This window comes from Homo sapiens, chromosome 4 (assembly GCF_000001405.40).
Source record: "Homo sapiens chromosome 4, GRCh38.p14 Primary Assembly".
Lineage (NCBI taxonomy): Eukaryota > Metazoa > Chordata > Mammalia > Primates > Hominidae > Homo > Homo sapiens.
In genome coordinates, this window is record NC_000004.12 from 102,737,984 (window position 1) to 102,764,218 (window position 26,235).

General features: G+C 41.0%; 1 protein-coding gene and 1 pseudogene across 3 annotated transcripts in view, besides 3 other annotated features; one reads left to right on the top strand and one right to left on the bottom strand.

Annotated features, from left to right (window-relative positions):
• MANBA (mannosidase beta) overlaps positions 1–22,985 on the bottom strand; it is a 130,199-nt gene extending 107,214 nt beyond the window's left edge. For 2 of the 3 annotated variants that reach the window (NM_005908.4, XM_047415692.1), the window contains exon 1: positions 22,735–22,985. In NM_005908.4, the coding sequence (NP_005899.3) occupies positions 22,735–22,911 (177 nt within the window). In that variant the 5' untranslated portion in view covers positions 22,912–22,985. Of the gene's footprint in view, positions 1–22,340; positions 22,470–22,734 lie in introns of those variants that run through there. The other variant, XM_047415693.1, reaches the window with a different exon arrangement.
• On the top strand, positions 13,264–14,852 carry WDR12P1 (WDR12 pseudogene 1; annotated as a pseudogene).
• Positions 16,716–16,893: a silencer, noted in NCBI's record as "fragment chr4:103675856-103676033 (GRCh37/hg19 assembly coordinates)". NCBI's record gives its function as "represses an EF-1alpha promoter that drives an FKBP-Casp9 reporter gene in an ReSE screen in HepG2 liver carcinoma cells {active_cell/tissue: HepG2}" and the evidence as "EXISTENCE:reporter gene assay evidence [ECO:0000049][PMID:32094911]".
• Positions 22,580–22,929: an enhancer, noted in NCBI's record as "active region_21757". NCBI's record gives its function as "activates an Ori minimal core promoter by ATAC-STARR-seq in GM12878 lymphoblastoid cells {active_cell/tissue: GM12878}" and the evidence as "EXISTENCE:reporter gene assay evidence [ECO:0000049][PMID:35858748]".
• Positions 23,020–23,149: a silencer, noted in NCBI's record as "silent region_15599". NCBI's record gives its function as "represses an Ori minimal core promoter by ATAC-STARR-seq in GM12878 lymphoblastoid cells {active_cell/tissue: GM12878}" and the evidence as "EXISTENCE:reporter gene assay evidence [ECO:0000049][PMID:35858748]".

Below are 26,235 nucleotides of genomic sequence, written 5' to 3' on the forward strand. Positions count from 1 at the left end.
ACAAATGACATAAACCCTTGGGACCTCTATGGTCCTGCCCATCACCTGAGAAACCCAAGTACTCATCCTGGCCAATGTAGGGCAATATTATATCCCCCCTTCTGCTACTGCAGCTAGTGCTTTCTTGACAGGGCCACCTCCTGGCTGGAGACCAATCAACTCAAACTGATAAAAGAACAACCCTGCTCTAAAGAAGAAAACAACTAATTCCACTGCCTAAAGAAGAAAACAACTAATTCCACTGCCTGCAATATCCTGGTTAACCAGAAGTACTGAGTCTGTTCACATGACAACTTCACTGCTAGCATAACCAGCATTTGAGAAAGCCAGTGCACTAAATGAAGCTACAACCAAGGACTCCCACTTTACTCCCCTGCCACCTCCACTGGAGCAGGTGCTGGTATCCATGGCTAGGAGACCTGAACGTGGATCACATCACAGGACTCTTGGCAGACAGTCCCCAGCATCAGCCTGCAGGCCAGTAGCTCCGCTGGGTGGCTAGACTCACAAGGGCAATAACAATCACTGCAGTCTGGCTCTCAGAAATCCCCGTCCCTAGGGGAAGGGGGAGAGCATCTCATCAAGGGAATACCCCATGGGACAAAACAATCTAAACAGTAACCCTTGAGTTCCAAATCTTTCCACTGAAACAGTCTACCCAAATGAGAAGGAACCAGTTAAAGTAATTCTGGTAATATGACAAAACAAGGTTCTATAACACCCCCAAAAGATCACACTAGCTCTCCAGCAATGGATCGAACCAAGAAGAAATCTCTGAACTGCCAAATAAACAATTCAGAAGGTTGATTATCGGGTTACTCAAGGAGGCACCAGAGAAAGGTGAAAACCAACTTAAAGAAATTTAAAAAACAATAAAGGATATGAATGAAAAGGTCTCCAGAGAAACAGATATCATAAAGAAAAAACAATCACAACTTCTGAAAATGAAAGACATACTTAGAGAAATGCAAAATACACTGGAAAGTTTCAACAATAGAATCGAACAAGGGAAGAAAAAAGATAAATGAAACAAAAACTGGCTCGGTGAAAAGATAAATGAAATTGATAGACCACTAGTGAGATTAATCAAGAAGAGAGAAGATACAAATAAGCTCAATTAGAAATGAAATGGGAGATATTACAATTGATACCACAGAAATACAAAAGATCATTCATGGCTACTATGAACATCTTTATGTGCACAAACTAGGAAACCTAGAGGAAATGGATAAATTCCTGCAAATATACAATCTTCTCAGATTGAAACAGGAAGAAATAGAAACTCTCAACAGACCAATAACAAGTAGTGGTGTTGAAAGAGTAATTTAAAAATTGCTGACCAAAAAAAAGTCCAGGACCAGATGGATTCACAGCTGAATTCTATCAGACATTCAAAGAAAGATTGGTACCAATCCTACTGAAAATACTCCAAAAAATAGAGAAAGAGGGAATCCTCCCTAAATAATTATATGAAGCCAGTACTATCACCTACCAAAACCAGAAAAGGACATAACATACAAAAACTACAGACCAATATCCCTGATGAGCATAGCTGCAAAGAGCCTCAACAAAACACTAGCTAACCAAATCCAACAGGATACCAAAAAGATAATACACCATGATCAAGTGGGTTTCATACCAGGGATGCAGGTACATATGCAAGTCAATAAATGTGATACACCACATAAAAAAGAATTAAAAACAAAAATCATATTATCAACTCAGCAGATGCAGAAAAAGCATTTGACAGAGTCTAGCATCCTTTATGATTAAAATCCTCAGCAAAATTGGCATAGAAGGGACATACCTTCAGGAAATAAAAGTCATCTGCAACAGATCCACAGCCAACATTGTACTGAACAGGGAAAAGTTGAAAGTATTCCCCCTGAGAACTGGAACAAGACAAGGATGCCCACTTTCACAACTTCTCTTTGACATAGGACTGGAAGACATGGCCAGAGCAATCAGACAAGAGAAAGAAATAAAGGGCATCCAAATCAGTAAAGAGGAAGTAAAACCGTTGCTGTTCACTGATGATATGATCATATACATAGGAAACCCTAAAGACTCATCCAAAGAGTTCTTAACCTGATAAATAAATTCAGCAAAGTTTTGGGATACCAAATCAACGTACACAAATCAGTAGCACTCCTATACACCAACAGCGACCAAGCTGATAATCAAATCAAGAACTCAACCCCTTTTACAATAGCTGCAAAAAATAAAATAAAATACTTAGGAATATACCTAACCAAGGACATGAAAGACCTCTACAAGGAAAACCATGAAACACTGCTAAAAGAAGTCATAGATAACACTAACAAATGGAAACACATCCCATGCTCATGAATGGATAAAATCAATATTGTGAAAATGACCATACTGCCAAAAGCAATCTACAAATTCAACTCAATTCCCATCAAAATACCATCATCATTCTTCACAGAACTAGCAAAAGCAAACCTAAAATTCATATAAAACTCAAAAGGAGCCTGCATAGCCAAAGCAAGACTATGCAAAAAGAACAAATCCTGAGATATCACATTACCTGACTTCAAACTATACTATAAGGATATAGTCACAAAAACAGCATGCTACAAGTACAAAAACAGGAACATAGACCAGTGGAACAGAATAGAGAGCCCAGAAATAAAGTCAAATACTTACAGCCAACTGATCTTTGACAAATGAAAGAAAAAAATAAAGTGAGGAAAGGACACCCTATTCAACAAATGATGCTGGGATAATTGGCAAGACACATGTAGAAGAATGAAACTGGATCCTCATCTCTCACCTTATATAAATAAATATCAACTTGATAGATCAAAGTCTTAAATCTAAGACCTGAAACCATTAAAAAAAAATCTAGAAGATAACATCAGAAAAACTCTTCTAGACATTGGTTTAGGCAAAGACTTCCTAAGAACCCAAAAGCAAATGCAACAAAAACGAAGATAAATAGATGGGACCTAACTAACCTAAAAAGCTTCTGCACAGAAAAAGAAATAATCAGCAGAGTAAACAGACAACACACAGAGTGGGAGAAAATCTTCACAAACTATGCAGCCGACAAAGGACTAATATCCAGAATCTACAAGGAACTCAAACAAATTAGCAAGAAAAATCAAATAATCCCATCAAAAAGTGGGCTAAGGACATGAATAGACAATTCTCAAAAGAAGATATACAAATAGCAGAAAAAATTTAAAAATGTTTAACATCACTATCAGGGAAATGGAAATCAAAACCACAATGAGATACTCCTTTACTCCTGCAAGAATGGCCATAATTAAAAAAACAAAAAATAATAGATGTTGGCATGGATATGGTGAAAAAGGACCAATTTTACACTGCTGGATGGAATGTAAACTAGTACAACTAAGGAAAACAGTATGGAGATTCCTTAAAGAACTAAACGTAGAACTACCATTGATCCAGCAATCCCACTACTGGGTACCTACTCAGAGGAAAAGAAGTGATAATATGAAAAAGACACTTGGATACACATGTTTATAGCACCACAATTCGCAATTGCAAAAATATGAAACCAGCCTAAATGCCCATCAACCAACAAGTAGATTTTTTAAATGTGGTATATGTTATACATAATATGGAATACTACTCAGCCACAAAAAGGAACAAAATAAAGTAGAGTTGGAGACCACTATTCTAAGTGAAGTAACTCAGGAATGGAAAGCCAAGCATTGTATGTTCTCACTTATAAGTGGGACCTAAGCTATGAGGATGCAAAAGGCTTAAGAATGATATAGTGGACTCTGGAGACTTGCAGGGAAGGATGGGAAGGTGAGGGATAAAAGACTACACATTGGGTGCACTGTATACTGCTTGGGTGATGGGTGCAACAAAATCTCAGAAATCACCACTGAAGAACTTCATGTTACCAAACAGCACCTCAGGAGGTCATGGTTTTTTTCCTGGTAAAGTGACCCAAACCTTCATTCCTGAAGGGTCTGGGCCATTTGTAGTCCTGCCCAGATTGGGCTGTTGTAATTTCCCATTGACCTTAATCTCAGGGCATGGTAATACTATGAGACACCCCAAGGGATCTCCTGTATTCCACGCATACTCTTCCTTATCTCCATTGTGGAGCAGTAGACTGATTTTGTCTTGATAGTCTGGGTCAATCACCCTAGCCAACACTGTAACTCCCTTCTTAGCCCACTGACTTAAACTTAGGAGGAGCCCGAAGTGTCCAGGTGGCAATCTTAACTTCTAGTTTAATGGAATCATTGTGTCTCCTGGTGGCAGCGTTTCTCCCTCTGGAACTAAGACTTCTAGACCAGCAGAACGTAATGTCGCAGGAACAGGAAGCAAAAATTTTGCTAGTGGATCACTAGGGGTGATGGTGAGTGGTACCACTTCCACTTCCATCCCTTGCTTCCTGGACCTATGAATCTTGGCTATGGGAGAAACAGTACCATATATTGAATGCTGATTCAGAGCATACATGGTCTTCTGGAGAACTTTGCCGCAGCCCTGAAAAGTATTGTCACCCAGTTGGCATTGTAATTGTGACTACAGAAGGCCATTCCACCATTCTATCAATCCAGCTGCTTCAGGATGATAAGGAACATGGTAAGACCAGTGAATTCCATGAGCACGAGCCCACTGCCACACTTCTTTAGCTGTAAAGTGAGGGCCTTGGTCAGAGGCAATGCTGTGTGGATTACCATGATGGTGGATAAGGCATTATGTCAGTCCATGAATGGTAGTCTTGGCAGAAGCATTGCGTGCAGGATAGGCAAACCCATATCCAGAGTAAGTGTCCATTCCAGTGAGAACAAACCTCTGCCCTTTCCACGATAGAAGCAGTTCAATATAATCAACCTGCCACCAGGTAGCTGGCTGATCACCCCCAGGAATGGTGCCATATCGTGGGCTCAGTGTCGGTCTCTGCTGCTGGCAAATTGGACACTCAGCAGTGCCGTGGCCAGGTCAGCCTTGCTGAGTGGAAATCCATGTTGCTGAGTCCATGTGTAACCCCCATCCCTGCCACCATGGCCACTTTGTTCATGGGCCCATTGGGCAATGACAGGGATGGCTGGGGAAAGAGGCTGAGTGTTGTCCACAGAACGAGTCATCCTATTCACTTGATTATTAAAATCCTCCTCTGCCAAGGCCACCTGTTGGTGAGTACTCACATGGGATACAAATATCTTCATAGTTTTTGACCATTCAGAGAGGTCCACCCACGTACCTCTTCCCCAAATTTCTTTGTCACAATTTTCCAATCATGCTTCTTCCAAGTCACTGACCACCCAGCCAAACCATTGGCTACAGCCCATGAATCAGTATATAACTGCACATCTGGCCATTTTTCTTTCCATGTAAAGTGCACAACCAGGTGCACTGCTTGAAGTCCCACCCACTGAGAAGATTTCCCTTCACTGCTATCCTTCAGGGATGTCCTAGAAAGGGGCTGTAGTGCTGCAGCTATCCACTTTCGGGTGGTGCCTGCATATCGTGCAGAACCATCTATAAACCAGGCCCTAGTCTTCTCTTCCTCTGTCAACTGATAATAGGGAACTCCCCATGAGGCCATTAGTGCAGGCTGGGGGAGAGACGGCAGGGTGGCAGAAGTGAGCCACTTCTGCCTTTGAGCCACTTCCTCATGTAACTTAACTGTGCCTTCAGGACCTGCTCGAGCCCAATCATGTATATACCACTTCCATTTGATGAGGGAATGCTGCTGTACACAACCTACTTTATGGCTAGATGGGTCAGAAAGCACCCACTTCATGATAGGCAGTTCAGGTCACACAGTGACTTGATGACCCGTAGTCAAAGGTTTGGTTTCCACCAAAGCCCAGTAACAGGCCAAGAGCTGTCTCTCAAAAGGAGAGTAGTTATCTGCAGAAGATGGCAGGGCTTTGCTCCAAAATCCTAGCAGCCTCTGCCATGATTCAGCTATGAGGGCCTCCCAGAGGCTCCAAACACCATCTCTATCTGCCACTGATACCTCAAGCACAATTGGATCTGCTGGGTCATATGGTCCAAGTGGCAGAGCAGCTTGCACAGCAGCCTGGACCTGTTGCAGAACCTTCTCCTGTTCTGGATCCCACTCAAAACTGGCAGCCTTTTGAGTCACTTGCTAAATGTGTCAGAGTAACACAACCAAATGTGGAATGTGTTGCCTCCAAAATCCAAATAGGCCCACAGGACGTTGTGCCTCTTTCTTGGTTGTAGAAGGGGCCAAATGCAGCAACTTATCCTTCACCTTAGAAGGAATATCTCAATAGGCCCCATACCACTGGACCCCTAGAAATTTTACTGAGGTAGAAGTTCCCTGAATTTTGGTTGGATGCACATGTCTCACCAATAAGTCCAGTGTGTTTGGTACTTCTTGCTCACTGGATCCAATCAGCATAATGTCATCAATGTAATGGACCAGTGTGATACCTTGTGGAAGCGAAAGAGATCAAAGTCTCTTCGAACAAGATTATGACATAAAACCAGAGAGTTGATATGTCCCTGAGGTAGGACAGCAAAGGTATATTGCTGGCCTTGCTAGCTGAAGGCAAATTGCTTCTGGTGGGCCTTATGGACAGGAATGGGGAAAAAGACATTTGCCAAATCAATGGCTGCATACCAGGTACCAGGAGATGTGTTAATTTGCTCAAGCAATGAAACCACATGTGGTACAGCAGCTGCAATTGGAGTCACCACTTGGTTAAGTTTACAACAATCCACTGTCATTCTCCAAGATCCTTCTGTCTTCTGCACAGGTCAAATAGGAGACTTGAACAGGGATGTGATGGGAATCACCACCCTTGAGACTTTCAGGTCCTTGATGGTGGCACTAATCTCCACAATCCCTCCATGGATGTGATATTGTTTTTGATTTGCTATTTTTCTAGGTAGGGGTAGCTCTAATGGTTTCCATTTGGCCTTTCCCATCATAATAACTCTCACCCTACAAGTCAGGGAGCCAGTGTGGGGGTTTGGCTACCTGCTACGTATGTCTATGGCAATTATGCATTCTGGCACTGGGAAATGACCACAGGGTGGGTCCCTGGATTTCCTTCCAAGGAAGGAAGTCAGACCTGTAAGTCAGACCTGAGCTAAAACTCCATTAATTACCTGATCTCCATAAGCCTCTACTTCAACTGGAGGACCACAATGACATTTTGGGTCCCTTGGTATCAATGTCAGCTCAGAGCCAGTGTCCAGTAGTCCCCAAAATGTCTGATCATTTCCCTTTCTTCAATGCAGTTACCCTGGTAATAGACTGGGGGTCTCCTTGGGGAAGGATGGGAGAAATATTAACAGCATAAATAGTCACTAGCATAGTGGGGTCCTTTTCAAGGGGACCCAGCCTCCCCTTCATTCAAGGGTTTCTGGGCCTATAAATTTTGTGGTGGAGTGACTGTTGTTCCCACCGTTAGATCTGACATACAGAGAAGAGCAATTACAGGACTCTTCAGAGATGCAGTTGCCGCCATCACAAATCCATTTCGCAAAGCGTTGGTCAAGGGTGTATCTTCTGGACCCTCCCAGCTGGGATGGGTAGGTCCAAAGTGACCAATCCACTCCAGCATCCAATCTCCCTAAACTTTTGGATCCCTTCCTCTACATTAAACTGAGAGAGATCAGGCATTTCCAGCTTGCTCACAGTGGGCCATCTTTTATCCATATTTCAGCTAACCAAGCAAATAAACTATTAGAACCATTAAAACCTTTTTTAACTCCCTGAGCTGCAACATCAAAAGCAGAATCTCTACTTAGTGGGTTCAAATCAATAAGTCCAGCCTGATCCAACTCTATATTCCTTCCGCCATTATCTCACACCCTTAATATCCATTCCTATGACTCTTCTCCAGATTTCTGCTTATATAAATTAGAAAACTCAAGCAGTTCTTTTCTAGTGTAGCACATCTCCTCAAGGGTCACTCTGAACCTCACCTCTAGGGGTCTGCTGGGACTTTAGTCTAGGTATAGGTCTAGAAGCAAACAGGGGTGTTGGGGGTGGCTCCTGAGGAGAATCAACGTTATTTTGCCTGGCAACTGCCTCAGAGGAGGCCATCACTGTTGCCTCCAGGCAGCGCATGGTTTATCTCCTCAGACAAAGGTGGAAAGGCTGATGGCAGCATGTGTTGGGGAGGGGATGTTGCCACTACTGGGGATGAAGAAGCTGTTTCTTCTGGCAAAAAAGGTTCATCAGAGTTAACAAGCTCAGTGTCCCCAGCTTCATTAGGCCCTCCACCACACATCCCCATTCCAAGTTGCAGGGTCCCATTCTTTTCCAGTCAATCCCCTCACTTTAACAGTAGACACCTGGAAAGGCTGTGCATGCACCTTTCGTTGCAGGTCAGCCACTCACATGATAAGAGCTTGTGTCTATTTTTCCACAATTTCAGCTCTTTCTCTATAGGAGATAAGACTCTTACACAGGGTAATCTAGCAGGTGTGAGGCTCAGTACTACTTCTGAAGCTGAAAATGAATCCCTGAGCTCATCATTTTTCTTTCATCACTTTGTCCAGTGAACGTAGGAGCAACCAACCAGCTTTATTATGTTCCTTGGTTCTCCACATATGGTCAAAGGTATTATGTTTCAAGTCACTAAACTCCTTGCCTCTCACGAGCAGTGAATCAGGAGTATCAGATGCATTTATTTTGCATAACTCTCTAAACAGTTCATGCCAAGGACTATGGGTGTTCTCCATACTATTAGAAATAGAATTCTTAGGCCGGGCACTGTGGCTCACGACTGTCATCCCAGCACTTTGGCAGGCCAAGGCGGGAGGGTCATGAGGTCAGGAGATCGAGACCATCCTGGCTAACATGGTGAAACCCCGTCTCTACTAAAAATACAAAAAATTAGCTGGGCGTGGTGGCGGTCGCCTGTAGTCCCAGATACTTGGGAGGCTGAGGTGGCAGAATGCCGTGAACCCAGGAGTCAGAGCTTGCAGTGAGCAGAGATCGCGCCACTGCACTCCAGCGTGGGTGACAGAGCGAGACTCCATCTCAAAAAAAAAAAAAAAAGAAAGAAAAAGAACCTTTAGCATTTTTTGGTCTAATCACATTAAGCAGCCAACTCCAGAAACCCCAAAACCAATAAAAGAACTCCATCCTTAATATTCTGTTCCTCTAGAACCACTTCTGGTACCAAAATCTGTATTAGTCAGGGTTCTCTAGAGGGACAGAACTAATGGGATATATATATATATAAAGGGGAGTTTACTAAGGAGTATTAACTCACATGATCACAAGGTCCCATAACACGCCATCTGCAAGCTGAGAAGCAAGGAAGCCAGTCTGATTCCTAAAGGTGAAGAACTTGGAGTCTGATGTTTGAGGGTAGGAAGCATCCATCATGGGAGAAAGATAGAGGCTGGGAGGATAAGCCACTATAGTCTTTTCATGTTCTTCTGCCTGCTTTTTATTCTGGCTTTGCTGGCAGCTGATTAGATTGTGCCCATCCAGATTAAAGGCAGGTCTGCCTTTCCCAGTCCACTGAGTCAAATGTTAATCTCCTTTGACAACACCCTCACAGACACACCCAGGATTAGTACTTCGTATCTTTCAATCCAATCAAGTTGACACTCAGTATTAACCATCACAATGTTTCATTCAGAAGCTATAGTCTCCAAACTTCAGTTTCTCCTCTGTCAAATAGGATCTTCAGCTATGATTCTTACTTCAAAGGGTACACAGGTACAAGAGATCCCCAGCCCACGAGTCTGGCAACATGTTTTGGTCAGCCTTAACATTATCTTTTTCTAAAATCCTTAAATTAGTAAATATTGCTTCCCATCTAACATAGCTCTAAGTGAAAAAAGTTGCAGTTTAAGGAGAGTCCTAATTTTCTGACCAAAGAGACTAAAACTTAAAAGGGAAAACAAGACAAACTATTTGCTTGGCCCACTACAAGTCCCAGGCATTATGCAAGGTTTTCAAGGAGACACAGAGACAAGTGACACCTGACTGAAGTGTAGCGGTGGGGTTCCCAGGACTGGACCTCATGAAAGGTTAGAATAAATGCCTGCAGACAGATTCCTAGCTGATAGGAAGAGTCAGAGGAGATCACACTTGCTCAGGGAGTGAGGCTGGGCAGCTACATGGTTCCACTGCCTCTGAGATGAAGCCAGGAGGTGACTGGAGCTGACATGTGGAAGAGGCAGTTGGTGAAACCTTTTCTGCATGGGTTTGATCCCCAGCTTAATCCTAATACCTGTGAGTCTTTGTGAAGCTCAAAAAACATCTCTGTACACCTGTTTTCTCAGTTCTTGAATGGAGATAGTAATCATACCTACATGCCTCACAGGATCAGTACAAGGAGTGCATGAGACAATTATGAAGAGTGCTTAGAACAGTTCTTGGTACATAGTGTGCACTCAAAAATGATAGCTATCTTTTCTATTACATGTACTGATCTGAAATGATGTCTAAGATATATTAAGTTAAAGAAAAAGGTCAATATAAAACTATATATATATATAGAATGCAATCATCTGTGGGGGGAAAATACATGTATCTATATATGATATCTGTCTGTATATGTTTATAACATCTATGGAAGAATACACAAGAAACCGGTTAATCATGGTTGTTTCTATAGAAGGGAACTGGACCTAGAAGACAGGGATGCTTTTCATAACATAGCCTACCTTTAAAACTGTTTACTATTGGCCAGGCAAGGTGGCTCATGCCTGTAATCCCAACACTTTGGGGGGCCGAGGTGGGCGGATCACAAGGTCAGGAGTTCGAGACCAGCCTGGCCAACATGATGAAACACCATCTCTAATAAAAATACAAAAATTAGCCAGGTGTGGTGGCAGGCGCCTGTAATCCCGGCTACTCGGGAGGCTGAGGCAGGAGAATCACTTGAACCCAGGAAGCAGAGGTTGCAGTGAGGCGAGATCGTGCCATTGCACTCCAGCCTGGGTGACAAAGCAAGACTCCATCTAAAAAGAAAAAAAAAAACCCATTTGCTATTTATATCCTTTACCTGTTTCTAAATGTCATTAAGATTAATTTATCTCTTTTTTTAAAAAAAAGAAAACAATGAGCTAGGTTGATAGCGGTAGAAATGTTAAGGAATGGTTATAAGACAGTATAGATGGGACTTAAAAGATCCAGTACCTAACAACAGACGTGAGAAAAAAAAACAAAAAACTGTAACCAAGATTCTAGGCTTAGTTTCCTGAGAAAATACTTATGCTTTTATTATAAATAGGTAAAATAAGAGAAAGTAAGGGTTGGGAGAATTGAGAGAAGAAATATTTGGATATATGGAGTTTCATATGCCATGAAGACATTCAGGTAGGAGAGTTGAACAGAATTTCTAGCTGGAAATCAAGTGAGATGTGGTGGTTAGACACAAGCATTTCAGCAATTGTGGCACAGAAGTGATGGCTGAAACAAAGAGAATTCCAAGAGACGGAGAATACAGAAAGAAGTGATATATGAATTAACCCTGAGAAAATGTTTACATTTTTTGAGAGCTTTTAGCAAATGGGGTGCTTTTAGTGGCATATTTTGAACAAAAGTATATTGTACTCATGTCTCTATTTTCATCAGACACATTTAAATTAAAATAACTGTTCCATTTGTTTACTATTTACTGTTTCTGCCAATAGGCAGCGTGCAATGGTGAAAAGAACATCGGGGTTTGAATCCTTGCTCCACCATCCATTATATGCATCATCTTAGGCAATAACTTTGCTGAGCCTCAGTCACTGTGAATTATTATACCTTTTCCAGAGGGTTGTTGCTGAAATTATATGAACAAGTGCACATGAAAGGGCCAAGAAAAGTGCATCACACGTGGAAGACATAAAATAAATGTTACATGAAAATGAATTGTATAGGCTGACTACATGCATTAATACTTATACATGATAAGGACCAGCCAACGCTTACCTAAAAATTTAGCTCTCAGGTGGTCCTTTGATTTTCAGTTCGGGGCCACGCAAAGCAAATCCTCCCATACCCTAAATACACCTCATGTGGCATCAAACAAGAAAGTATATGTCCAGGTTTAAGGATCAGGATTTTTTAAACTATCTGTTTTTTTTAAATGAGGGCTTAAAAACCTTGGACTTCTCTCTTCCCAGAAATTGAGCAACATTATTAATTGATGACTATTTCTGTTTAAATTAAATTTCAAATGCAGAGTCATTAGCTATTTTATCTCCTTAATGTCACACCTGATAGAAGCAGTCAAACTTTTTTTTTTAATTTTACTTTAAGTCAGTCAAACTTTTAGAAGAAGACATACATATCTTTAAAGGGTCATTTCCTAAAAAGCTTTTGAGATCATTTCACATCATAAAATGATCACGTAAAGCCAAATATTTCCTTAGTTTTTTTTTTATTTAAAAAACATTTTTTATCATTCTCAGTATTCAAACAAATATTTCATCCTTACAAGTCTTAAGATCTCTGTGGAAGGTTAGTATAACAACCAGAAAACCTTCTGTTTTGAGAAAAAATGTATGTTTAGTCATTTTGGATTATAATAATGGGACTCTCTTCTCTGAAACACATCAAAAATATTTCACAAGTCATAATGGTTCTGTGGTTATGTTGAAGAAAAAGGAACTCCCTATCTTTTAAAGACCCATACTGAAATGTTTGTGGATGAAATAATGTGATAACTGGGATTACTTTATAATACTAAGGGCGCCAGGAGCAGCGGTTCACACCTGTAATCCCTACACTTTGGGAGGCCGAGGTGGGAATATCGCTTGAGCCTGGGAGTTTGAGACCAGCCTGTGCAACATAGGGAGACTCTGTCTCTACAAAAAAGAAACAAATTAGCTGGGTATGGTGGTGTGTACCTGTAGTCCTAGCTACTTGGGAGGCTGAGGTGGGAGGATAGCTTGAGTCCAGGAGGTTAAGCCTGCAGTGAGCCATGACCACGCCACTGCACTTCAGCCTGGGTGACAGAGTAATACCCTATCTCAAAAAACAAAAAAAATGATAACAAAACAAAATAATAAGGGATGGCATAGTGGATAGAGAAGAAACAAAATTAGCCACGAATTGATCATGTTGAAGCCAGGTGATGGATACATGAAATTTCATTTTGCAAGTATCTCTATTTTACTATTTGTTTGAAATTCACCCAAAGTTTAACAAAATTCACATAGAAACTGCTTATTTGCTACTTAAAGAATACAAAAGTAGAATGTACACTGATGCACATATATTGTTAGAATGTACTTATGAGTGATAACCTGCAGATTGGAGACTCCATAGACAGACTCATGGCTCCTTAGAAAGAATGATTGTGGGTGGAGCAGACCCAAGGAGGAAAAGCAGAGTCCAGGCTTAGACTGCAGCTTCTCGCTTACCTGTGCAGTCTAATTTTGAGCGGCCTCTTTGTAGTTAAGAGACAGGAGCTCCCATTCTCTCTCTACTAACCCAAAAGTCTTGTGTGTACTCCTTGCCTTGGCTCAGCTCCAAACACATTTCTACACCGATAACAAGAAATATGCTGTAAATGATGTTTCCTTCTCAATCCCTGCCGCCTCTGAATTTGCTGACCTTAGTAACATCATCAATAAATTACTAAAGGACAAAAATGAGTTCCACAAACATATGGAGTTTTATTTCCTTATTAAGGGCCAGTTTCTGCGAATGTCCTTGGTCAAACACATGGAACTGGAGAACATGTCATCAGAAGTAGTTGTGGAAATAGAATATGTGAAGTACACAGCACCCCAGCCAGAGCAATGCATGTTCCATGATGACTGGATCCTTTCAGTTAAAGGGGCAAAGGAATGGATCTTGACTGGTTCTTATGATAAGACCTCTCAAATCCGGTCCTTGGAAAGAAAGTCAATAATGACAATTGTTGGACATAGGGATGTCTTAAAAGATGTGGCCTGGGCCAAAAAAAAAGATAGTTTGTCTTGCTTATTTGTGAGTGCCTCTATGGATCCAACTATTCTCTTATGGGAGTGGAATAGAGAGAAACAAAGTGAAAGCCCGACCGTGCTGCAGAGGTCATGCTGGAAGTGCAGAGTCTATAGCTGTTGATAGCTCAGGAACTAAATTTTGTAGTGGCTCCTGGGATAAGATGCTAAAGATCTGGTCTACAGTCCCTACAGAAGAAGAAGATGAAATGGAGGAATCCACAAATCGACAGAGAACACAGAGCAGCTATGACTCCCATAGTGACCCTCTCTGGTCACAAGGAAGCAATTTCCTCAGTTCTGTGGTCAGATGCTGAAGAAATCTGCAGTGCATCTTGGGACCATACAATTAGAGTGTAGGATGTTGAGTCTGACAGTCTGAAGGCAAGCTTTGACAGGAAATAAAGTGCTTAATTGTATTTCCCATTCTCCAACTTTGTAAACGTTTAGCATCTGGAAGCACAGATAGGCATACCAGACTGTGGGATCCCCGAACTAAAGACCATTCTTTGGTGTCACTGTCCCTAACTTCAAATACAGGTTGCGTGACATTAGTAAAATGGTCTCCTACCCATGAACAGCAACTGATTTCAGGATCTTTAGATAACATTGTCAAGTTGTGGGATACAAGAAGTTGTATGATCTGGCTGCTCATGAAGACAAAGTTCTGAGTGTAGACTGGATAGGGACACAGGGCTACTTTTCAGTGGACAAGCAGACAATAAATTGTATTCCTACAGATATTCACCTACCACTTTCCATGTGGGGGCATGAAAGTGAATGATAAATTGATCATAGAGATTCTTTATACAAATGAACTTGGTAGAAAATCATGAAATTATACTGATGCAGATGCAGAAAGCAGCCGTTTGAAATTTATATAATGTTTTCACTCTTCATAACAGCTAACATTTAACTATCTTTTTCTTATTTTGTATTTATAATAGTTTGTGTTTATAAAATAAAAAGAATGATTGTGACTAGCTTGTTAATCACATGTATAGCTACTATGATGTACTCTTACAGTTTATAGTTAATTAACTTACACATCTAAAATATATCTTTCTCTGGCCATTTGTCCCAATTGCATGTGAAGAATATAAGGTAATAATAAAATTTACGGAAAAAGTACTAAGTATCTGTTGCCTACCACTTTTTAGTATATGTGTATATTTATATACTTATAATTTTTATTTTCAAGTGTAGATTTTGAATAAGAACACATCTTTATAATGGGGTGTATGAAGCTATTTGCAATAATCCTGGATCTATATTTACAGACACAGACAAATATATTCATGATATGTTTTAAATGTTAAAGTAGCTAATAAAACCACCTTAGGGGATGATTTCATTTTTATGTTATATTTGTCTCTATATACTTAGAAAAAAATGTGGAAAGATAAACACTTTTTTACAGTGGTCTTTTTCTGCTTTATATTATGTGTTTTATTGGTTTTTCTTCCTTCTTTATATTTTCTGTATTTCTTTTATCCAATGAACACTACATAAATACGTATTTTTAAAAGAATTTTAATCATGTAACCTTTCTAAAGATTAAAAGAGAAGGAATAACAATATTATATCAGTATATGCGAATTTAGTGCATGATAAAAGTAATATATCAGCGGACAAAAGAGAAATTCTTCAAATCATGAGTTATAGGCAACCAATTAACTATTTGGAAGAAACCTCAAATGAATCAAAATTTTAAATATAGGAACTATAAAGATAGCTGAGAGGAATTATTTTTAAGCAAACTACCAAAGACAGAAACAATCATAAAAGGAAAACAAAAGATTTCAACATACACAGCTTTAAAACATCCATATGACAAAATACTTCATTAATAAATGGGACATTTGGGGATTTAGTTTTAATTTGAATTTTTGAAAATATATAACAAAGGGGCCTTATAAATCTATATTAAAGAGGCCACCCATGGTGGCTCACACCTGTAATCCCAGCACTTTGACAGGCCGAGGTGGGCGGATTGCCTGAGCTCAGGAGATCGAGACCAGCTTGAGCAACACGGTGAGACCATGAGAATCGCTTGAACCTGGGAGGCAGAGAATGCAGTGAGGAAGATGATGCCACTTCACTCCAACCTGGGCGACAGAGTGAGACTCTGTCTCAAAAAAAAAAAAAAAGAAAAAAAAAATCACCATTAAAGATAAATAGCCAAAAGAAGATGAATTAGAAATGCCCATGTCACCAATAAACTTATGAAATAAACGTATAAAGGTATTTGACCTTACTAGAAAATAAATTGATTTTGTTTTGTTTCTTAAATAATATTCAAATCTAGCACCTAAGATAAGCACTCTGATAAAATAATGGTGGCAGTGTACAACTGGTACAATGTTTATGAAAAGCAACTTAGAAGCACGTACTAAATGACTAATAAAAGTACATATCCTATGAATCAGCTATTTAACTTTTAAATATTTGTCTAAGAAAATAAAGATGTACAGTAAAATTTAGTTAAAAGGATCCTCATCAGAAAAATAGAAAAAAATGGAGTCCAATCTAACTATCCAACAATAAGTAACAGATTATAACTGATGGTAATTGTATATAACATAATTTTTAAAAAGCCACTAAACATGGTTTATAGAAACCTGTTTAATGCAGGTAAGAGCATCACAATACATTAAATGTGAAAGAGTTGTTATTTATTTTATTTTATTTATTTATTTTTTTTTTTGAGATGTAGTCTTGCTCTGTCACCCAGGCTGGAGTGCAGTGGCGTGATCTTGGCTCATTGCAAGCTCCACCTCCCGGGTTCATGCCATTCTTCTGCCTCAGCCTCCCGAGTAGCTGGGACTACAGGTGCTGGCCACCACGCCGGACTAATTTTTTGTATTTTTAGTAGAGACGGGGTTTCACCGTATTAGCCAGGATGGTCTCGATCTCCCGACCTCGTGATCTGCCGCCTTGGCCTCCCAAAGTGCTGGAATTACAGGCGTGAGCCACTGTGCCTGCCCAAGAGTTGTTAAGCTGTATATTTAATACTTATAAAAGTGTATGCATTAAAAAAATTAGAATGGATGCACTGAATTTTTACTTTAATAGTGGTTATCCTGCTCAATGAAATAAAAGAGAACACAAACAAATGCAAGAACATTCCATGCTCATGGATAGGAAGAATTAATATCATGAAAATGGCCATACTGCCCAAGGTGATTTATAGATTCAACGCCATCCCCATCAAGCTACCAATGACTTTCTTCACAGAATTGGAAAAAACTACTTTAAAGTTCATATGGAACCCAAAAAAAGCCCACATTGCCAAGACACTCCTAAGCCAAAAGAACAAAGCTGGAGGCATCACGTTACCTGACTTCAAACTATACTACAAGGCTACAGTAACCAAAACAGCATGGTACTGGTACCAAAATAGAGATATAGACCAATGGAACAGAACAGAGCCCTCAGAAATAATACCACACATCTACAACCATCTGATCTTTGACAAAGCTGACAAAAACAAGAAATAGGGAAAGGATTCCCTATTTAATAAATGGTGCTGGGAAAACTGGCTAGCCAAATGTAGAAAGCTGAAACTGGATTCCTTCCTTATACCTTATACAAAAATTAATTCAAGATGGATTAAAGACTTAAATGTTAGACCTAAAACCATAAAAACCCTAGAAGAAAACCTAGGCAATACCATTCAGGACATAGGCATGGGCAAGGACTTCATGACTAAAACACCAAAAGCAATGGCAACAAAAGCCAAACTTGACAAATGGGATCTAATTAAACTAGAGAGCTTCTGCACAGCAAAAGAAACTACCATCAGAGTGAACAGGCAACCTACAGAATAGGAGAAAATTTTTACAATCTATCCATCTGACAAAGGGCTAATTAATCCACAATCTACAAAGAACTTCAACAAATTTACAAGAAAAAATCAAACAACCCCATCAAAAAGTGGGCAAAGGATATGAACAGACACTTCTCAAAAGAAGACATTTATGCAGCCAAAAGACACATGAAAAAATGCTCATCATCACTGGCCATCAGAGAAATGCAAATCAAAACCACAATGAGATACCATCTCACACCAGTTAGAATGGTGATCATTAAAAAGTCAGTAAACAACAGGTGCTGGAGAGGATGTGGAGAAATAGGAACACTTTTACACTGTTGGTGGGACTATAAACTATTTCAACCATTGTGGAAGACAGTGTGGCAATTCCTCAAGGATTTAGAACTAGAAATACCATTTGACCCAGCCATCCCATCACTGGGTATATACCCAAAGTATTATAAATCATGCTACTATAAAGACACATGCACATGTATGTTTACTGCAGCACTATTCACAATAGCAAAGACTTGTAACCAACCCAAATGTCCAACAATGATAGACTGGATTAAGAAAATGTGGCACATATACACCATGGAATACCTTGCAGCCATAAAAAAGGATGAGTTCATGTCCTTTGTAGGGACATGGATGAAGCTGCAAACCATCATTCTGAGCAAACTATCACAAGGACAGAAAACCAAACACCACATGCTCTCATTCATAGTGGGAATTGAACAATGAGAACACTTGGGCACAGGATGGGGAACATCACACACTGGGACCTGTCATGAGGTTGGGGGCTGGGGGAGGGATAGCATTAGGAGATATACCTAATGTAAATGAGGTTAACGGGTCAACGGGTGCAGCACACCAACATGGCACATGTATACATATGTAACAAACCTGCACGTTGTGCACATGTACCCTAGAACTTAAAGTATAACAAAAAAAGGGAAAAAATAAAAAATAAAAATAAATAAATATATAAAACTGTTGGGGGCATTAGTCACATGAACAGCTGTCAAAAAAAATAGTGGTTATCTCTGGGAGTGATGTTTCCAACCTTCTTCTTACTTATCTATATATTTTAATGTTGGCATACAGAGACTATCTAAAAAAAAAAAAAAAAAAAAAAAAGAAGCAGTTGCTTCAAAACTTACACCAGTGAGAAATTCCACAGAAAAGCTGAGAACATTCCTAACAAGGGTCCCTTTATGTATGCACTTAACATAACATATGGAAATTATTTAGTTTTCTGCCTCACTAAAGTGGCCTCCCACAAAATAGGAACTATAGTCTCACTCTCAATTTCTTTTTTTATTCCTAATGCCTATTACACTGTGTGGCATAATAGCAGGCTGAGGGCCAGGCACGGTGGCTCATGCCTGTAATTCCAGCACTTTGGAAGGCCGAGGCAGGTGGATGGCCTGAGGTTGGGAGTTCAAGACCAGCCTGACCAACATGGAGAAAGCTTGTCTCTACTAAAAGTACAAAATTAGCCAGGCATGGTGGCACATGCCTGTAATCCCAGCTACCTGGGAGACTGAGGCAGGAGAATCTCTTGAACCCAGGAGGCAGAGGTTGCGGTGAGCCGAGATAGTACCATTGCATTCCAGCCTGGGCAACAAGAGCGAAACTCCGTCTCAAAAAAAAAAAAATAGCAGGCTGAAGGAATAACTTTTCACAGAGAACCCAAAAGACTCTCTAAGAAACCAAAGGTTTAGATTCTGTACAGAAAACCCAGAGAATCACCTAGGAAATAGCCAAGACTAGCCACAGAATCTCTCACTAAATACAAATTTCATTTAACCAGCTCAGATAAAAAAAATCCTGGTATTTTCCTGCACCTCCCCCTTCTGTCTCCCAATCCATTAACAAATCCAACTGAAGAAATCCTCTTGTTTCTACATGTAAAACGTGTTCTCACAACCATTCTCACCATTTCACTGCCACCATGCTTGTCCAAGCCAGAAGTCATCTCTTGCCCATACATAGACCAGCAATAGTCCCCTGGTTGGTCTCCAGGCTTCCACTCTCCTGCACTGTAGCCTTCACACAACAGAGTGACCTTTAAAAAGGCAAATCTAATCATGCTACTCTAAGCTCAAAGCCTCCAATAACTTCCCATCACATGTAGAATAAAAGCCAAAGTGTTTCCTATGGCTCACAGCCTTTCATGATGTGCCCTAGACTTTGAACTCCTCTCCTACCCTCTGGTTCCCAGGTCTCCAGCCACACTGGCCTGCTGACTATTCCTGAAACTTGTCAAGCTCGTGCCTGCCTCAGGGCCTCTATCCTCCCCACTCCTGTGTTTTTCCTCTTTGCTGGAAATGCACTTCTCCTTAAAAGTGACCTTTTCAAACAGGTCTTTTTGTTTAGAAGTCACCTTATCAAAATACCTATCTTGAACCACTTTTTAAAAAATAGCAATGCTTTCCAACCAGCCTTCACTGTCTCTTCCTTTAACCTGCTCAATTTTTCTTCAGTGTGCCACCTGCCTTACATTATTTATTAATTTGGTATATATGTCTATCTCCTCCATTAGAATGTCCATTAGGGAAAGGACTTTGTTTTCTTTACCACTCGATTTCAAGTACTTAGAATAGTGCCTGCCACATTAGAGGTACAAAATAAATATGAGATAATTAACTAGGTGAATAGATAAATAAATGAATGATATCACCAAGATATGTTTCAAGTTCTTACACAAACACAATATTTGGCCCAGTGTCTACTATAAACGGTAGAATATTTCCTCAAGTCAACACCAAAAAGGGATGTTATAATAAAGCAGGTCGGACAACAGTCTCACATTACTGAATAACGATACTGATCTGATGTTGATGATTGCTTCTTTACTTTTTTTCTTTTTTTTTTTTTTTTGAGAGAGGGTGTCACTCTGTTGCCCAGGTTGGAGTACAGATCACGGCTCACTGCAGCCTCAACCTCCTGGGCTCAAACGATCCTCCCACCTCAGCCTCCCTCGTAGCTAGGACCACAGGTGTACGCCACCACGCCCAGTTAATTTTTTAATTTTTTGTAGAGACAGGGTCTCGCCAGTTGCCCAGACTGGTCTAAACTCCACCTACCTCTGCCTCCCAAGTGCTGGGATTATAGGCATGAGCCACTGTGCCCAGCCTGATGATTATTTTCAACAGGCCTTGTGTTTCCTAAGCCCCAAAAGCCTTCCCATTTCTCATTCCACTGCCATTTGAGACCCATGGCCACCTGATTGAAACCTCAAGGTTTTGCTAAGAATTTATGAAGAGAGTTAAGAAATCTCTTCAAATTGTTCCTATGAGGAAGTTATTTCATACTATGAGCAAATTCATTTTCATTAAGTATCTGTTGTAACCAAACGTTGTTTCTTAGCTTCTTAGCTCTGTAATATGGCACAATAATCTGACTTACTGAAGCCACTCATTATTTCCCATTGGCTTAATTCTTTCTTTCTTTTTTTTTTTTTTTAGAGATAGAATCTCTCTATGTTGGCCATGCTGGTCTTGAACTCTTGGCCTCAAGAAATTTTCCCACCTCGGCCTCATAGACTCTTTCTATGTTGGCCATGCTGGTCTTGAACTCCTGGACTCAAGGGATCCTCCTACCTTGGCCTCCCAAAGCTCTCACGTACCAGCACCCATTGGCTTAATTATTTCAGTAAAATCAGGCAAGGAGGAACCCTACAAAATAAACACAGGCATTCTCAAAGCAGATATAAGTGAAAACTCAGAGTATACTGTGGTCAGCTGTGTTCTCTATCACAAGTAGTTTGTCAACTTAAAATAAAGTACTAAAGTTTGGGAATGATCTACTCTAAAAATACATCGGACAATGGTCAATGTCATTTACAACATTCACCTCCTTTCTGATACACATCTCAGGAAAAAAAAAAAAAAAACTACTAAGTACCAGGTCAGAAATTTGGCACAACCCTAGATGACCACCTTGTCATGCAAATAAACTTAGAATGGTGCTCCTGAAAGTCAGCCACAGTGCTTCAAAAACACATGATTTTTTAAAACACCAAACTAAGCATACCACATAGTATAGAGACCAGGCTATGGAGTTGAGACCACCTGGGTTAGAATTCCATTTCTTTCCATTTAGTTGCTGTCACCTTCCTAATTTCTCTGTGTTCCATAATTCCATATTATCCATAAAATTCAGATATGAACACTTACTATACAGAGTTGTTATGAGGATTGGACAATGTATGCATCCCACAAGTAGATCAATTACAAGTACATTTTGCCCCAAGTAAAGACAACACGTGGGAACGCTGTGCAAGAGGGAACAGCAAAAGCAGTTGGAGGATGGAAGTCAGTTTGCAAACCTATGCGCACAGGCAGCCAAACACGAAAACGTTCCCCACAAGTAGTCTGTAAATTGGAGACTCCATTGGGATACACACACACACACACACACACGCCCTGAGAGGAAATAGCACCTTTCTTCATCACCAAGTTAGCCTTAAAAATTATTTACCCGTTGTTAGCCACACTAGCACTGACAAACCCAACTTTACTCTTGTAGGTCATTCTCCACAACGTCTGTGCTGCGTCAATCCCAAATCTGACTCCCTGACGCTTAACAGCGAAAATAAAAAACCGAGACATTACTCAATAGAGTTAACCCTTACTTAACAAAACGCTGTTGTCCCCTGTGGCGTGCAGACAGTAGAGACAGTAATTCCCGACCTTATGCTTGTCAGTGACGGCATGCCCTTTGTATACACGCTTCAGTAGAGAACGACTGCAGTAAGTAAACTGCTAGTAGCAACACTGTTCCCCTATCTAAACTTCCCCTTTCCAGAGTTACTGATGTCCCAACATGGGTCGGTCGCTCAGTCTCCGTCAAGCCCGTACCCCATAGCTTGGGCATTTCCCCCCGCAGATCACAAGATGCAAAGGGGAAGTTACTACCAAACCGACGAGAATGGCCCAGAGCTGGGGGCTGCCAGGCGGTTCCTGGGCCCCTCTCAGCACCAGAAGAAGGCGGGCGCAGGCTCGCCGCGGGTCGGCCGCACGCCATACCTGGATCAGGCCCTGCTGGAACAAGGCGCTGTGCACGCAGCCAGGGACCGCCCCGGGCAGCTCCAGCGAGCCGTTCCCATTGCAGATGCTCCAGTTGCCACGCAAGCTGTAACTGAGCTCCGCGGCGGTGGTGCCTGCACCGCACAGCGCGAGCAGCAGGAGCAGGTGGAGGCGCATCTTGAGATCCCGCGCCACCGAGATGTGGAGAGATCGAAAGGCAGCGCTGCAAGGGACCGGCGGTGAAGCCACTCACCCCCTCGGAAGTAGCCGAGGCTTTAGGTCCCCGCCCCGGCCCCGCCCCTAGGTCAGCTGAGCGCTCTCCGGGCGCAGCCGCGGGCGGGAGGGGAACGAGGAGGCTGCGCCTGCACCCGCTGAAAGCCGGGCGTCGCGGGTGCGGGAGCTGCAGCCCCCGAGAATAGCTACAGGCTGGGGGGCATTGCGGTCTGAGCCTTCCCTCGGCGCTTCTTCCCGCCGCCTCAGTACATACAACTGGAGGCAAGAATCTTGCACGGTAATTGGGACAGAAAGATCCCTGGGCGCGCAGTGGCACAAAGCCTCGGGAGATCAGAGACCGACTGTACGTGGAGACCATAGCTGGAGAGTCCCCTCACTCCTTCAGAGAACCCAAACTGGGAGACAACCCACCACTTCCCTTCCGCCAAATTTACACAGACCCTCGTCTACCTGGTAGCGTAACACTCACCCCGCTGCAGCTCAACTCGCGGGTCTCAGAGCCTACCCCGCCCTTCAAAGAGTAAACAAGTACTAGCAGTATCTCCATCAGAAGGTTGTTCTGAGGGCTAACCAAGAAAATGCGACTATAGCATGCAGCATGGAGCCTGGCCCAGAGAAGGCATTCACGTTAGCTATTGTTACTAGCGGCCTGCGTCCTTATGTTTCATAAAGCCCCACGGAGGTTTCTGAGGTTCTGGAACCTGCACTAGGCGCGCAGCTGAGTTTAAAATCCTCTGCACTCACTAGCTGTGGGACCTGGGCAAGCCGCAAAATCTCCATCTCCGTTTCTTGAAGTTTTCAAGGTGTTATAAGTATAAAATGAGTAAACATATGTGATCGTCCCTAACAATGCCAGAGTACCCAAGAAATACCACTGACTTATTTCGGGTCTTGTAGTCAAATGGTCTACCTGAGTCCCATTTTTGCAATAGGATGTAACAGTAATCCTAGAAGTTAAGACGGAATTTTACATTGCATAAAATAGACTGCCTTTCTCCTGTGTTGACGCTATCTGCCGTATATTTATGCTTCGGAAGAAGTCCTTGAAAAGAAATTTTCTCTCATCAAATCTGAGCTTTGTTTCGCCTTACAATGGCCTTGGAATTGCCTGATTCTGCAGACACCGGGCAATATCTTACTTTGCAAAGTCAGCATTATTTACAAGCCCTGAATATCTTGGCTTAAAGGACAGTATGGATTATCCAACCCAAGCCGCTGGCTTTACAGATGAGGGAACTGAGTTCAAAGAGATCGGGGCCAGGCGCGGTGGCTCACGTCTGTAATCCCAGCACTTCTGGGAGGCCGAGGCGGGTGGATCACTTGAGGTCAGGAGTTCGAGGCCAGCCTGGCCAACATGGTGAAACCCTGTCTCTATTAAAAATACAAAAATTAGCTGGGCGCGTGGTGGCACGTGCCTGTAGTCGCAGGTGCTCGGGAAACTGAGGCAGGAGAACCGCTTGAACCCAGGAAGCAGAGGTTGCAGTAAGCCGAGATGGCACTACTGCACTCCAGCCTGGGCTATAGAGAAAGACTCTAAAAAAAAAAAAAAAAAAAAGATCAGGTGACTTGCCTGTCACATAGTGGCAGACAGGATTAGAACCCTCCTCTTCAAGGTCCTACTGTCAGAGCCCAATGATGCTATAGGGGAAACGCTCTCACTGCTTCAAAGCCTTCCTCACTCACTCCAGAAGCATTTTTACCTTTGATAGAAACAAAGCTCTCAATTCAAATTATATGCCATAATTCACGGCATTAAATGGCTAGCCATGGTCTGTGCAACACTGATAACACAAGGTTTATGGCAACAAGAGCGGCAAAGGAATTTTTTCATAATTCCCAGAGATTTCATTAAGCCAAATCAGAGGAAAATTCATCCTTGATGATACATATGGATATATTCTGTTTATTAAGAAATATAATTTTTAGAAAAACAATAATAGAAGATTCTCATTCCTCCTTTCATTCCAGGATGCAAGCATAACATCATTTAGGTTACTTCACTTTGACAACAGAGAACATCAAAGAATAATCAAAGCCCTAATAAGTACTCTTCCTAAAATTGCAATTGGCACAGATGACATGATGTTTTCATTTTGTTATAGGATAATTTTTGTCCATGATTTTCTGGTAAATAAACCTTATTTAGAGATAACATAAAACTTCTCAACTTATGTAATTTAAAGTCATGATACCAAATGCAATGTTTAAAATAGTTATGGGTATCTTTAACTTACACTGTATAAACAGATTTCATTTTGATCATTTCATTTGATGCTTCCCAAAACTTGAATTATTTAGAACAAGTGATCGTTCCCTGGTTTAAAAAGATAAATAATGCCCACGGTGATTAAATGATGTGTAGGGTCAGTATCCTGTCACAACAGACCAATGGAAGTAGTTAGGCCCTTTGCTATATGACAACATTTCCTTCATATCTAAATATATAAAATTGGTAAACTCATTAGAACACCATGGTATATACCAAGGCCAATGATATTCCAATCCCATGATATATTACAGAAGTTATAATAAGGGAAAGAAAATGAAAGAGTAATCAGATGTGGAGTGGACATTTGCCTTTAGACTCATAGTGTCTGATTAAACCCCAGGACTGGGGATAATAGCCCATAAGTATCCTGCCCAAAGGTTTGACATACTTCCCCAGAGTTTGAAGCCCCAAATGTTAGAACAAAGAGAGAAGGTAGTGGAAACTATGTACACCACTAGAATTTGGTGTGTCAAGGATGCATATGCATGAGTTTCCTATAAACCAAGAGGACACCGTAGGAAGTAACCAGGCTTGAGCCAGTATAATGGGATTCTACCCAAGAGAGTCCAAGAAGTCAACTAGAGGACACATGGCCTATGTCAGCAAACTGTGTATATATATACATATACTGTATATATACATATATACATATACGTATATATATACATATACTGTATATATACATACATACATATACTGTATATATACATATATACATACATATACAAATATATATTTTAAATATATATAATTTATATAATAATATAAATATATAAAAATATATAATATAATTATATTATATAATATAATTATATAATTAGGAATATAATATATTATATTCCTAAATAATGCATGGGTCAAAACAATAATAGATTTCCAATTTCTGGCCTGGCATGTAAGGACCTTGGAAGTCATCACTCTATCCTAAAAAGCAAGTAAAAAGCTGCACAAATTGAAAATAGACAACTCTTCTTAGATGAGTCAAAGAAGTGAGGTCA